Source organism: Homo sapiens, chromosome 2 (genome assembly GCF_000001405.40).
Source record: "Homo sapiens chromosome 2, GRCh38.p14 Primary Assembly".
NCBI classification, from domain to species: Eukaryota; Metazoa; Chordata; class Mammalia; order Primates; family Hominidae; genus Homo; species Homo sapiens.
The window spans coordinates 173,566,983-173,582,793 of NC_000002.12; the positions used below are offsets into that span (position 1 = coordinate 173,566,983).

General features: G+C 41.8%; 1 pseudogene, besides 1 other annotated feature; it reads right to left on the reverse strand.

Annotated features, from left to right (window-relative positions):
- Positions 6,031-6,090: a silencer, noted in NCBI's record as "silent region_12116". NCBI's record gives its function as "represses an Ori minimal core promoter by ATAC-STARR-seq in GM12878 lymphoblastoid cells {active_cell/tissue: GM12878}" and the evidence as "EXISTENCE:reporter gene assay evidence [ECO:0000049][PMID:35858748]".
- Positions 8,129-9,401, reverse strand: LOC100129456 (heat shock protein 90 alpha family class B member 1 pseudogene; annotated as a pseudogene).

Sequence of the window (15,811 nt, forward strand, 5' to 3'; positions counted from 1 at the left end):
TATAGGTGAATATGTATATGTATATGATTGTCTTTTTTCCCTCACAAGTGAACCTTCTCTCTATGCTGTTCTGAATCTTGCTTTATTCACTCTAAATGAATCTTGTCCACATACCTACATCAATATGCACATACCTACATCAATACCTTCTCGCTTATTCTTACGGGTGATTACTATTGCATTGTCCGAATGTTCCATCATTTGTTTGACTAATTCTCTACTGAAGAATATTTAGATCAGTTATACAAACAAGAATTTCTTTCCTAAAATTCCTAAGCCAATCTGATTCTGAGAAACCAGGTCTCAGGTTATGCTTAGTTTCAGTGAGCTCAAATCACCACACCCTTCACCTCCATAGGATCCTTGTGAGGGAGAAGTCCCTCATCCTTCTCTGTGCAGGAGGAAAACATGGTGGAGGGACAGCTCTTCCCTGGCTAATGAGGGACATAGAAGCACTCAAGGCTGCTATGTAGCCTTATTCTGTCTATGCTCCCTCTACAGCTTGCTTAATTGGGTTCTAGCACCGGTTCTCTGATGCAGCCCTCCACTTGCCCGGGCCTGTTGCATCAGTGTGACCTGCCAGCTCTCTCCTCAGACCATCTGATGCTGCTCGGCTCACTGCTCAAGCCTGTCTTCTCAATCTACTTCTTGTGCCTCACATGTTTGCATCCAGAAGGCTTATTTGGCCTCTGGGAGCTGGGCACTTCCTGCTTTTGGGGACAGCTTCTTTCCTAAGAGTCTGAGACTTCACTCCCTGGTGTTTGGTCTCTATCTCTCTAACCAGCTCCTTTGCTCCTCCTCCTCTTCCCAGCCACATTGTGTTGGAAGGCCCCAAGGCACTGAAATTAGCAATACCAGCTTCTCCAGCCACACTCCCTCCCTAGGTGACTGTACCAATGCCACTCTCTAACATGGTTGAACAAGGAAAAAACCCAGGAATCACCCTGACTCCTCTCTTTTTCTTATATCAGGGTTCATTAGGTCCCATCGGCTCTGCTATTGACTTCAGGAGTGGAAACCACACTTGTCTCTTGTCTGAGCCTTTTCATGAGCTGCATTAGGCTGAATATAAGAAAAATCAAGGAAACAACCAGCCCAAGGAATAAAAATGTGGTTGGCACTGATAACATGAAATCTGGGGTGTTGCACATGCTTTCATGTTCTAATTTGCTCAAAATGCTATTGTACCACTGGCGTCTTTGCTCCAGCTAGGGAAGAAAGGGCAAATAAGTAGAGAAGTGACCACTCATGGCACATCCAGTCATTGCCTGTTGCTGCCCCCTGTAGTCCACCCTCGGAGGTATCAATCACAAGAAGGTACTGGCCAAGAGGGCAATGAGGCAGGCCCAGAATCTAGAACAGTGCTGCTAGTATTGGTAGCTAGCAGTCATGCATGGTTACTGAGCACGTGGAATACAGCTACTCCAAATGGAGTTGTGCTATAAACATAAAATGTATGCCAAATTTCAAAGACTTAGGACAACAGCAAAAAAGAATGTAAAAACATCAATAATTTTTTAAGCTGATTATATGTTGAAAAAAGTTTTTGCATATATGGGTTAAATTAAATGTTGTTAGCATTTTATCAAAATTAATTTCACCCTGTTTCATCTTTTTAAATGTGGCTACTAGAAAATTTAAAATTATATAAGCAGCTTGCGGTGTATTTCTATTAGAGAGCACTGGTCTAGAAAGTCCAATAATTGGGGTTTTAAGAAATCTAACAGCGTTTTAAAATTTCAATGATATGTTGTCCGTGAACACTAATTCCTGAGAAGTTTCCATTATTCAAGAAACGTTCAAGGAATGAAAACCCTACATTTGAATAGTCTTCCAAGTCCAGAGCCCTCATAGGGGAACACCTTTGTTCTCTAAGAGTGAATTTAATTTCCTAAACTCTTTGCTCATTTATTCAACAAACATCTATTGAGCACTTACTATGTGTCTGATGCAGCTAGACGGTGATGCATATAGAGGGGAAAATGAAAATCTCCTCATCTCAAGAAGTTTATTACACTGGGGATATAGATACAGAAATAAATATCCAAAAGAATTTTTCCAAATAGGAGGTGTACAAAGAATGAGGAATGTCCATTCACTTGGAGTCAGACCTGATGAATGAAATAGATGATTGAGTTAATGTTCAAAGGAAGGTATGAGTGACTCTACAGGAAGGACACTGATTGTCTTTCACAGCTTCTAAACAAGATGGACCAAAATTGGGAGAAATGGCTGCTCCAGTGTTCGAATAAATGTGTCATTTAGCCTGCTAAGGTGCTCACTTGGAAAGGGACAATGCTTATTTTAGCTTTTAAGTATTCCCATATTTGTACAAATAAAACCCTACACTTTTGTTCTGCTCCAGTGCCTCCTGCTCAGCCCAGAGTTCCCATGAACCAGCTATGCTGGCTCTGGGTGAATGGGAGGGATGACCAGGGATGGAACCTTAGGAGACAGCTGTCAGGGGTTAGGACATCTTGTACAAGATGCTTAGTGGACTGGAAGGGGAACCAGCAACGTCTGCCTCTGTACTTTCTTATTCTCTTAGAGAAATGTGGAAATAATATCCAAGGGTCCTCTCAAAAAACCGAACACCGCATGTTCTCGCTCATAGGTGGGAATTGAACAGTGAGAACACATGGACACAGGAAGGGGAACATCACACACCGGGGCCTGTTGTGGGGTGGGGGGAGGGGGGAGGGATAGCATTAGGAGATATACCTAATGTAAATGACGAGTTAATTGGTGCAGCACACCAACATGGCACATGTTTACACATGTAACAAACCTGCACGTTGTGCACATGTACCCTAAAACTTAAAGTATTAAAAAAAAACACACATGAACTTGCACTGTGAAAAAAAAAATATCCAAGTGTCCTCTAATCTAGGCCATGGCAACCTGTCCTATTGGACAGTTAGGAAATTTCTCTTATCCCAATACTCAGTGTATGAAATTCATTCTACATAGACTCCTACCGTGTGCCTCATAATCAGTTCTATTTAAATTAAAATGTTTTGAAAGAGGAATTACTCTGGTGATTAGGACAGACTAGGGAATGCCTCTGCTCATTTTTATTCCAGTATGAGACACACCTATAACTGAGGGCACTGACCAAATGGGTAAGAGAAAGCAGAACCAAGCTTCATGGCCTGGAATTACAGACTTGTCTGGCTGATGTTCGGTCACACAAACATTTTCTCATACTGGTAAATGTCGACATCACCCAGAGGGTGCTTGGTCAACTCCAGTGCAAACTATTAACCACATTAGAGAAAATAGCCCTGGAGAGGTATCGCTCAACCGTTTTAACTTCAAAAGATGTCATGAGAAGAGCCACAAATTATTATTGCTGACAATTTGTACAATATGTCCCTGGTGAAATGTGTGTGTCCCTACACTGCACCATTTTACATAACAATATGAAATATTAAAAGGGAAAAACGTTTTGTAATAAACAGCAGTTTTGCTGATTGCGGCTGATTATGTTAAGCAGCTTGTACTGTGGGTGTCAGAGGAGACTTAATAGCTCCTATAACTAATCTCCACGACTGACCTCTCCCCTCGGCTGATGAAGCCTATTCAAAAATCTGCTGCCCTTTGCTCATTTTCAGATCTTATATTTCTGAACTGTTTGGATCGTGCATATATTTGCTAAAGTTGTTGTGTACAGGATTTGTGTGTGTGTGTGTGTTTAAAAAAATATACAATCCATGAAGAAAGATTCCTGCCAGGGCTGTCTTATGCATTATTTAAAAAAAGGAACAAACTACACAAACAGTAAAAACAACGCATATTTACAACATTCATATCAGATACTGTGTCATTTATTATAGCTTAAGACCGTTTCTGTATTGAAAGTGTGCGAAGAAATATAGGGCCAACATTTTTTACTCTAACTTTAAAATAAAGGGTAAAGGATGTCTTTCTGGGGAAAAGCGTCATCTGGGCCATTTCATCAGCCTCGATGGCTGGTACTTAGAAGCAAAGTGCTATTCAATCATGAAGCAATTTCATTTTTCTGATAAAAGTTTTTGATTTAAATGGAATTTCATAGAGAACATTTCAGAGTATAGAGAACTCCTCCATCAGTAAGTGCAGATAAACATGTAAGTGCATATGTGTAAGTGTCTATGATTAACAGTTTGCTCTTCCTCTGTTACCCAAATCCAAGGATGTTTACAAAGCCACAGGGGAAATGTGGAGGTTGGTAAGAGCAGCGCTTTAAAGAGCAGAGACGTCAGTCCTCCCCACACTATTCAAATGCAGCCATCCTGGGGAAATAAAACCAAATAAAGACAAAAGAGGGAGGGAAAAAATCAACAATTCAAAAAGTAAAGTGTGTGAATCTGACTTGCTAGAGAAAGGGGTAGACTCAGTACAACAAGGTCACAAAAAGGTGCAGCCTTCGATGAGACAAATACCGGCTGAAGCTGGCTGATAAATATTTCCTGTAGGATCTGAAGCAGGTTGTCACCAGCAAAACAAAAATCCCTAGGGGGCAGTACATAATTAACAATTTGAAGATGTGGCCGCGTGTCATTGTCTCAAAAGGAGCCAGGGAATCCTGCCCCCAAAAGCACAACCCGAGTTCCCATATTAATCTTACTGTTTCCCTATAAACGAATATCAGTGTTTCCCCAGAGGCTCAGAAGACGCCTTTGCTCTGGGCTGGCAAATGTCTCCTGGCTCATGGTGTCATTTTCCTGTGATTTTAAATCAGCATCACCAAACCTGTTCCTCTAGTCTGAGCAAAATCACACAGCATGTTTAGGAAAGCAAACAAGTATTTTTTTCTATTATCAAAGACATGAATAAAATCGGGACTGAGAGAAGAAATCTATTTACACAGGGTGCCTGAACGAGTGTTTAAAGACTTTTAGAACAGTGACTCTCTAAAAACAACTGACCTTCAACTAAATTGCACCCACACACCAGAACAAAAACTCGGGAGAGATTAACAGAAGTCATAGAGAAGTTTTGGCGTGGTTTAAATATTTCTTCGGTTTATTTCAAGACAGGTTGGAGTTTGGAAGGAGGAAGAGGTTAATTGCCAGAGGTTAATAGAACAAGGAAATACTGAACTTAATCTTGGGGTGGTTCTGGCATTCACTTAAGAGAAGTCAGCAATATTTCCCAGGGGGTAGATCCAGGACAATGCCAATTTCGAGTTTGTTCTGCTGCTGAACCTTGGAAGCAGTGTGGACTACTGCTCAGAGCAACAAATTTGGAGACAGGAGACCTGGGCCACATTCCCACCTGTGACTGAAAGTGGGTGCTCCTTGGGAAGTTTCTCAGATTCTCTGTGTCTTGGTTCCTTCAATTGCAAACTGAGTTCAGATCACTTGCCACCTGCCTACCTAATCAGAATATTGTGAGGGTTAATGAGATTGCACTTGCAAGGTGATTGCCTCATCATATAACTCCAAAGTATTATTATTCATCATAAAGACACAGCTGCAATATTGTATATTGTTACATACCAGATGCCATGTTTCTATTTTTAGCAACCTAGAAATGACAGTGTCTTAGAATTATACAGTGGGAGGGGCCTGGCAATATTACCTGCCCCAAGCTCTGTTCTGGGTCAGGTGGGTGTCTAACCAACCAAAGATGGCTGGCTGTTCAGTCTCACTTTATGTCTAAAGGAGGAAACTCTTCAGCTCGCCTTTCAGAGGAAATTCCAGTGTTATCATTCTGATGGTCAAGAGTTATTGCTTAAGTCTGAATTCTCCCTTCTGTTTTAATTAAAATAATCTTTTTCATTTATTAATATGTATGTGGGTCTCCTTCATGTAGTGATCTTGAGGGGCAGAAACCATGTCCTATGCATTTTTATATTCTTTAAGTCACTTCCTGGTAAGGCAGTACCTAGTAAACACTCAAGAAATGCACTTTGGATTGAATTCAGTTGTTTGTAACTATGTGGGCAGAAAGAAAAACACTGATAGCACATTTCATACTAAGAGCATGGGTCCTGCAGTCCTAGCCCCCTGGAGGCTCAGGCTGGAGGATGACATAAATACAGTTCTGGGCTAACAGGTGGTGTGGCTATGGTGTATGTGCCCACATTTGGAAAGGAAGTTGCACTTCAACTTTCTTTTCCCTAAGACTTTCAAAAAGCCCTGTGGTTTGTGCTATGGCCTGAGTGTTTGTGTCACCTCAAAATTGATATGTTAGAATGCTAATCCCCAAGGTGATGGTAGTAGCAGGTGGGGCCTTTGGGAGGTAATTAGGTCATGACGTTGGAGCCTCTATGAATGGAATTAGTGCCCTTATAAGAAGACACGAGAGAGCTTGCTTCCACTCTCTCTCTCTGCTTTCTGCCCATATGAGGATGGCACGAGAAGACAGCCATCTGCAAACCAGGAAGCAGGCCCCAAACACCAGATCTTCTGGAGCCTTTTGGACTTCCCAGTCTCCAGACTGTGAGAAATAAGTTTCTACTGTTTATAAGCCATCTGGTTTATGGCATTTTGTTACAGTAGTCCAAACAGACTAGCACAGTTTACCCACTAGTGTTTTATGCTCTTAGATACAGTGATTAATGAAAGCTTCAATCAAATTTTCCTGGTTTTCAATGCTGTCTGGTCTATAATTACTATATTAATTCAACCCTATCTCCCATTCTTCCCTCTTTTTTTAAACTTTTATTTTAGGTTCAGGGGTATATGTGCAGGCTTGTTATATAAGTAAGTTGTGTGTCACAGGGGATTGGTGTATAGATCATTTTATCATCCAGGTAATAAACATAGTATATGATAGGTAGTTTTTCAATCTTCACCCTTCTCCCACCCTCTCACCCTCAAGTAGCCCCAGTGTCTGTTATCCTCTTCTTTGTGTGCATATGTCCTCAATGTTTAGCTACCACTTATTAGTGAGAACATGTGGTATTTGGTTTTCCGTTCCTGTGTTAGTTTGCTTAGGATAATGGCCTCCAGCTCCATCCATGTTGCTGCAAAGGACATGACTTTGTTCTTTTTTACGGCTGTGTAGTATTCCATGTTGTATACGTACCACATTTTCTTTATCCTGTCTACCATTGATAGGCATTCAGGTTGATTCCATGTCTTTGTTATTGTGAATAGGGCTGCAATAAACATTCATATGCCTGTGTCTTTATGGTAGAATGATTTATATTCCTTTGGGTATATACCAAATAATGGGATTGCTGGGTAGAATGGTAGTTCTGTTTTAAGCTCTTTGATAAATCTCCCAAATGCTTTCCACAATGCCAGTGCCCATTTTTTTAAAAGATGGGCATAACATTTGTTCACTTTTCGACTGAAAAGGAACCTCTGTCCTTCATAGTTTAAAAGAAAAATTCCACAAGCTCGAGTTCTACCTGCATGCCATTAGGGCTGGCTCCCTTACATGCAACTGGCTTTCACAGATTCTCTGTAAGCTTTTGGCCCCTGCTCTAGTATGGCTTTAACTTTTCCTATACAACTGAATGTTGATTGTTTTACAGTTCACATCTGATATTTTTCTGGAGAGACTCGTAGACACATGATGACCTCACTTTTATTGTCCTCTGGAGCATTCCTTCCTGTCGTGGAAATTGGCTTAGGCCTCCCCCTCCACCAGTGCTGGGTCCAGGTCTTGCTCTGCTGCTGCTGAAGCAGCTTCTGTAACACTTGGACCCCAAGAGGCAAGAGGCCCAAGGAGATGGGCAAAGGCATTGGGGCTCAGAATATTAAGGTCTGGGTTTGAAGGATGTTTTTGTTTGTTTTGGTACCTTCTATATTCCTTGCCAGTTCCATCCTCCTTTCAGCAGTAGTACTCTTCATTTCCGTTATACACTCTTCTATTTCTTTATAAACATCTTGAGTACTCTGGCTTAATTTCCTCCATTTTATACATTTCCATTTGCCCTTCGGCTCTCAGTGAAACCCTAAGATGACTCAGCTTGTTTCCTGACTAATTGGCTTCCACACTGCTAGAGTTTTTTATTAACTTGCAAAACTACCCTTTTGAATGGTAGTGCTGGATTACTTGGTGTGATGGCAAACTTTATGTGTCAACCTAGCTAGGCCATGGTACCCATATATTAGATTGGCCAAACACCAGTCTATATGTTGGCATGAAGACATTTTGTAGATGTGATTAACATTTAAATCAGTGGGCTAGATTTTTACAGACTGCCTCATGGAATTTCTTGTAGTTCTTCTTGTCTTCTGCCAGCTCAGAGAACAGCTCAAGGCACTTCTTAACAATGTTTGTTTGAATGACTTTTAAGATTTTGCTCTGCTTAAGCATTTCTCGAGAGATGTTGAGGGGCAGATACTGAGAGTCAACCAAACCATGAATAAAATTGAGAAACTCTTGTGTCAACTCATCACAGCTGTCCATGATGAACACACGATGGACAGCTTGATGTTGTTCTTTTTCTTCTTGTTCTCAAAGAGGTCAAAGGGAGCCCGTTGAGGGATGAGTAGCAATGCTCTAAATTCCAACTGACCTTCTACAGAGAAATGCTTGACTGCCAAGTGGTCTTCCCAGTTATTGGTGAGACTCTTGTAAAATTCTCCATATTTCTCCTGGGTGACATCATGAGGGTTTCTGGTCCAGATGAACTTGGCCTTGTTTAGCTCTTCCTAATCAATGTATTTCTCTTTAATTTTCTGGTCTTCTTTTTCTTACCCTTACTGCTATCATCTGAGCCTACATCTTCAATCTTGAGCCTTTCCTCAGCATCTTTATTTTCCTCTTTTTTCTCACCTATCTCTTCTTTTGCCTCATTGTCACCGGTTTCCTTCTCTCATTCCTTCCCCCAAATAAAGAGTGATGGGATAGCTTATGAACTATGAGTACTTCTTCACTACTTCTTTGATTTGTCTCTCTTCTAAGTACTCTATCTGGTCTTCCTTAAGGTGGAGGATCACTTTGGTATCCCTGCTGGTGGGCTCACTGTGGTCAGCACATACAGTGGAGGAAGACTCTCAGGCATACTGTTCATCAGCATTGTGATGTGTGATCACAGTCACTTTCTGTGCCACCAGGTAGGCAGGCTAAAAACCAAACTGCTCAATCTTGGAGACTTGGCAATGGTTCCAAAATTATTTATGAGGTCATCCTTGGTCATGGCAATGCCTGTGTCCACCAAAGTCAGGGTGCATTCCTGAGAGTTGAAGATGATGTCAATTTTCATCTCTTTACTGCTGTTCAACTCAGAAGAGTCTGTCAGGCTCTCAGCAAATTCTGTTTAATGCATTAAATCCATTAGAGATCAACTCCTGAAGAAAAATTTTCTGGTTGGAATAGAAGGTATTGATGTTGAGATACATGAATTGGGCAACTTCTGCCTGAAAAGCAAAAGTCTCCACCTCTTCCTTTCCCTGGTACACTTCCTCAAGCATCTTGAAAGGAAAGGGCCACAAGTACTAGAGAGCAGAGTGGGCCGGGACTGTCCAACTTGCACGTGGCATCAAGCCTGAGCAAGGATAATTGTTAATTCCCAAGCCATAAGGTTCCAGATCTTCAATTGACCTCATCATGGATCAGCCTGTCATGCCTACAAGCTGAGCCACGGGATCTTGCAGCAGAGTCCACCAGTGTCCACCTCTTCCCTGGGCTAAGGCTTCAACATGCCCGAGTTTTGCTTGAAAACTTGAGGCTGATGAATACTACTAGGCCGACCATCCCTGATGTTCTCAGTCACTATCTGGATGCCTCCCTAAGATGGGAGAGGAGGGAGGAGGTGCTTGATGGGGCACTCTGCGTGCTCGGCTGAGGAGTCTGAGCTCTATTCGAGGAGATGTTCAGGTATCATTGAGGGTTTTCATCACAGTATCATCATCTCTGGCTTTTATAACTACTGTGATCCCAAGTGAAGGTCTACAAATACCTTGTTCATACATTCCTTGCATTCTCATTGCAATATTTCAATAAGGAATAAGATCGTTAGCTATTTTCCTTTTTCACAAACAATCACTATCTAACAAGAATTTAACTTAGAATGACCAAATCTGAGTCAGAGGCTGCTATGAGTTACTTCTTTATTTCTTGAAGCAGAGTCCTGTGAACGTGTCCTCAGCCTGTTGGCAGGGGCATGGCCAGAGGGGTGGGGCATGCGGAGGGAGACACACATCCTGGTGCTGGTTGACAAGGGCTCAGAAAGGCTTGTCTCTGGAAGTTCCAGGTCTGCAAGTGGGAAAAAAGAATGCCTATAAGAAATACAATTGCCTTCACTCATAAACCTTTATTCTTGGGAAACCCGTCAGAGTTCTGGAAACAACCTCATCCTGGTTCAGTAAACCTCATTTTCTCTACAGCAGAGAAAGAGCAAACAAATTTGCTCATCACCTCTCCCTTCTTTTCCATTCTAAGGTAGCCTGGACAGGAAAGCTTTTCTTCCATGGCCTGCAGATTCTGATGGCACAGCACTAGAGGAACCACAAGTTCCTAAATTCCAGACTCCCTTGCCAAAGCTTCTCCATCCACTTCTGGCATCAGTGCCAAAGGGGCATGGGATGAGTGGGGATCCATCTAAAATTGGTCCAACTGTTTTAATAATATTAATGTTGTGTAATATGAATAACAACAAGAATAATAGTAACTACTTAGAGAGTGCTTTCTCAGAACCAGGCATGGTGCTGGCACTAAGCTTTTGACTTGCATTATTCCATCAGGGATATATTATTATTTCCATTTTCCAGATGAAAAAACTGAAGCTCAGAAAGGTTAACAACTTTTCAAGGATCCACACCTAGTACATGGTTAGTACATGGTTGGAGAGGTGGTTCTTATGCCTATTGAAAAGCACTGTGGTCTCCAGCAGGAGCTATGGCTGCCAAAGGATGAAAGTCGCTGGGGTGAACACGGAGGATGAAGCAGTTGGCTCCTATGTGCCAGGTCTAGTTAGGTGTCTTCCAGAACAGCAGTGGCTCTAGACACTCAATATCTCCAAAGTCACCCCAGAGTGGGCCTAAACTTCCTGAGCCTGAGGTATCCTTGACCTCATCTCAGGGTTTCCTGGGCCATAGGCTGCTTCTTAAATTCAGTTCTTGCAACTGCTACCCCAGTTCACCTTAGTGATGCTCATCAGACATAGCATTCCCAACACATCCTCTTCACTCTGGCAATGTAAGTCCAGGGCTGTTTAGGGATAGGGAGCATGGGAGGGGTGGTAAGGAACTGCTTCTTAATCCTCTTGTCCTTCTTTGCTTTTGATCTCTCTCCACATCTTTAACTGTGATCCAATGAGATGTCTAGATAGCCTGGTGTCCACAACCCTAGACCTCTAGGGGAAAATGGTTTGCTCTGAATGGCTGGGACAGGAACCATTCACAATTGCAGGTCAGATCAATGCATGGCCAGTGAAGGCACACTCCTCTCGCACATTCCTGCGCAGTATGTGCTTCTGTGAAGAGGTGGGAAGATGTACAATTAGGTGAAGTCTGCTCCCACGCCCTTTTAGTATTACTGTTTCAGTGACACCAGTGGGGAGAATGTGAAAACAATTAATTTCAGAACAAAAGCAGACAGTGCTGTCTTGCCAGGGCTTTAGACATAGAGTCCCTGCCTGGAGTTACTGGCAAAAAGGAACAGTAGGATCTGAGATATCCGGCCATGGAGATCTAAGGAAAACCAGAGGTTTACCCAGGAACCAAATGATTCATCACAGGAACATTGTCCATTTGCTCAGCTTCCTGCTTCCATCCCTTATCCCTAAACAGCCCTAGACTTACTTTGCCAGAGTGAAGAGGATAGGTTGGGAACACTATGTCTGATGAGCATTGCTAAGGTGAACTGAGGTAGCAGTTGCAAGGACTGAGTTTCAGAAGCAGTCTATGGCCTAGGAAACCCTGAGAGGAGGTCAAGGATACCGCGGGGCTTAGGAAGTTTAGGCCCACTCTGGGGAGTGCTGCAGGTGCTAATGGAGGTTATCGGTGCACGGATCAAAAGGGAGATGCCATGAAAAGGAAATGCACGCAGGGCATCTGAGGACAGAGAGCGCTTCTCTGTTCTTTAGCTCTTTGCATTTCAGATCTAGTGTCTTCCTTTGCAGCCTTTCAGAGCTCTGTAGCCTGGCAGGTGTGCTAGGCCTCCTGTCTAGGCCGAGAGGTTGCTGAATTCATGCTTCATTTCCTGCTGCAGGTAAGATTATTGTGAGAGAGGGTCTTTTTGTCTTTTTGGTCATTAGGTTTAAAATCCAAGCGAATCATAATATTTGTTAGGTCTTTAGATTATGTTGGCTTCGGAAAAGGCCCATTTCAACGTAGGTATTTGAGTGGAATTATCCTTTCTGCCTATGTGCTATGAAAATTTTCTACTTTCAGAACCTGTGTTTAGAACTCAGTGTGAAAAACCAGTCAACACACATACCACACAGCACTCAGTGAGTTTTCCAACAGAATAATAAATGGCCCAGAGCTAAGTTGAAAGCAGTGTGTGCTATGAAACAAGGAAAATTAGAAATCACCATTTGATTCAAAGTTTGAAGTCACAGTATGATTTGGTTACAGGTGGCACCAGCTATTGTGATGTTAGCATGGTTGAGAAATTACCTTAGCATTCCTACCCAGTTTCATGAATAATGCAACCTTTCTTTTGGGCCACTTGGAAGACTTCCAGCAAAAATGTAGCCCTTATCAATTCCTAGGAGCACAATTGTTCTCATAAAGAGATTAAAATTCAGCCAATAAAACATCTAGAGAAAATAAATCAAGTAAAATCGTTCTTTTTATTCATTTGTAAATGTTTGATTCAAAGTCAGGGTTTCTGGAAATGTGGTTTGCAGACCTCCTGCATCAGAATCACCTTGTGAATCTTCTGGGCTTCACTACAGTTGGGAATCTGAATCCCCGTTGAGAGTCTGGAGAGTGATAGGTAATAGATTGCTCAGGTGATCCGGGGACATCTTCAAGTTTGAGAACCGCCCCTAGAGTAGTTGATCACTTCACAGCCCAAACATCCATGCCTCACAAAACTTGCCAGTGGACTCATGCTTTCTTCCTGGCCTGAAATTTATAGAGTTAGAGTCATTAATCTCAGTTAATTCAATTCATCAAGCATTTATTGAGGAATATCTGTGTGCTGTCAAGGATACAAGAATAGGTAGGGCCCAGTTCTTGTCCTCACTAATCTTATAATCTAAGAAGAAGAATCAGACAAATGCAGAAATAAACACAATCCCAGGCAGAAAATGATGAGCTCTTTCAGAAGAGGGATCTCTACTTAGTACCAGAAGTTCAGAGAAAGGGGCCGCACTCTGCAGAGAAGACTAGGAAAGTTGTGGTTTTTGAGATGGGCCTTCAATGATGGGTAGAATTTCACAAGCGGAGATGCAGGGTACACTGGGATTACGTGAAGAAAGAATGATGAGAGAACAGGTATGGAACCACAGATTAGCAAATTTGAGCTAGTTCAGGGCTATCTCATGACTGCCTGGAATGCTGGGTAGAGTCTTTTTTTTATTGGGATATAATTCATTTATAAGACTCATCCTTTTAAAGTGTACAATTCAGTAATTTTAGTGTATTCACAGACTGTGCAACCTTCAACACTAATTCAGAACATTTTTATGATCCCTAAAACAAATCCAGCCCTACTGTCAATCATTCCCCATTCTCCCCTCCCCCAGGCTCTGGCAACCACTAATCTACTTTCTCACTACACGGATTGGGCACATGATTTGTTCATAATTAAATAGGGAGTAGGGAACTACTAATGATTTTAATTGAGGTAAATTTACATACAGTTAAATGCACAGATCTTAAGGGTACAATTCAATGAGTTTTGACAACATATATACTCATCTTACTGATTCTCCAAAATAAAGAACATTTTCTTCGCTCTAGAAAGTTCTCTTGTGGGCCCTTCTAGCCAATTCATGCTCCATAGGCAACCATTATCCTGATTTTTGTCATCATAAATTAGTTTTGTTTTTTCTCAAACTTTATATAAATGGAAGCACACAGTATATACTCTTTTGTGTCTGGCTTCTGTTTCTCAGAATAATATTTGGAGATTCATTCATGTTGTGTGTGTCAGTGGTTCATTCTTTTTTGTTGCTAAATAGTATGAATGTGCCACATTTTCTCTCTCTTGCTGTTGATGGACATTTGAGTTGTTTCCAGTTTATGAACACTTGTGAGCTAAGCAGCTGTAAAGTTTCTCATGCATGTCTCTTTGTGGATATATGCTTTCCTTTGGGGGTAGGGGTAAATATGTAGGAATGGAATTGTTGGTCTGCAATCTACAGCTTTTGTTTTGTTTTTTGGCAAGAATGTGATCCACCAGGACTGAACTTTGAGAAAATGAATGCAACAGCAGTATACAGTGAAAATTAGGAATGGGGAAGTTAGGAAAATCAAGAGGAATGATGTCCTTTGTGATTGGGAGTCAGCTTATATGGAACTTGGAAAATGAGTGGATATGAGCAGGCAGTGGAAACAGAAGTTTCAAAAACAGCTATTTATTTGGTCTCTACTCTCCAAGGGATTCTTAGGTTCCAGGCAGTCTGGCGGGTGGCATGATGGAGTCATATTGGTGAGAAAGATAAATATTCTGGTTTTAGACAACAAGATGGATCACTGTCCCCAAAAGGCCATTTCTCAGCACTTCCCCAAGTGCCTGGCACAGAGTGTTAGTGGAATGAATGAACTACTAACAGTCATTTGATACTTAGGAAGAACGAAAGGGCATTGGGGAGAGTGGGTGGGCTGAGGCAGCAGCTCATACACCAGAAATTAGCCCACTTACGGGACTGGTTGATTAGATTAGTTACTTGTGTAATGAGGTGGAGAATTTTATTCATCAGAAATTCTCCTCCATAATTGCTCCCAAGAAAATCAGTCAGAGTGTGCCTTGTGGTTCTCCCTCCCTCCCCCAGCCCTTCCCCAGGGAATCTTTTGGAGCTCTTGAGACATGTTTATTCTAAAAGTGTATTTATGGACACCACAGAGCACAAGAAGGGTGCTGAATTCAAATTTAAGAAATTTGGAGTGGGTTTTTTTCATTGCTATGCTGACTGTGAACAACTTTAATAATCTATTTCTCAGTTTTCCTATCTGTAGAATGGGAATAATCATAATAATACCTGTTTCATTTCTCATAAATAAGTAGATTTAAAATCAGAAGAAATTTTAAATGCTAAAGTGTTTTGAAAAAGGTAGGCTCCCCATCACTTTCCAAATAATGAAACGACCTACAACCTTTTCAGCTTGTCTTTCAAGGTTTTCTTTGCCCAGTGGTCCAAACTGCCTTCTAGTTTATTCTCTCACTATTCTCTCCACTGACAACTGGCTGGACATTAGCTGTAGCCAGACATGTCCTGGTGCTCACCCACAGCCATGCTCCATCGTAGCCTCTGCTCCATAGTAGCCTCTGCCTGGACCCATGAAATCCTTCCCAAGCTCTGTCATTCACATTAACTCTTTCATAGCGTCTCTCCTTACAATACCTTCCTCTTCTGCTTTGGCACCTAGATTATAGCAGAAGTCACCTGTCCCTGAGGTTGAAATAAAATTGACTCAACCCAATCCCACGGGAAGTGCAACACACCCTCTCTCCATTTCTCCATGTTCTGGGGAACTACAGACTCATGGGCACTTAGGCTCCAAGTTACTGCTCTGTCTAAAACTGTAAACTCTCTGTGTCTCACCTTCTGTGGCTCTTTCTTCTCTCAGCAGATATGGCAGTCACCCCACCTACCTTTTTTTAATTCCTACCACACAAACCACTCAGAGGAGAAGACATTTGTGTGTAAAGTTTACTAACAAGTTGGCGCAGTGAAGGGAGGTTTCCAGTACTACACTACAACATGGATGCATAATATTAAATCTTATTCATCTTTCATCTTAAAAGT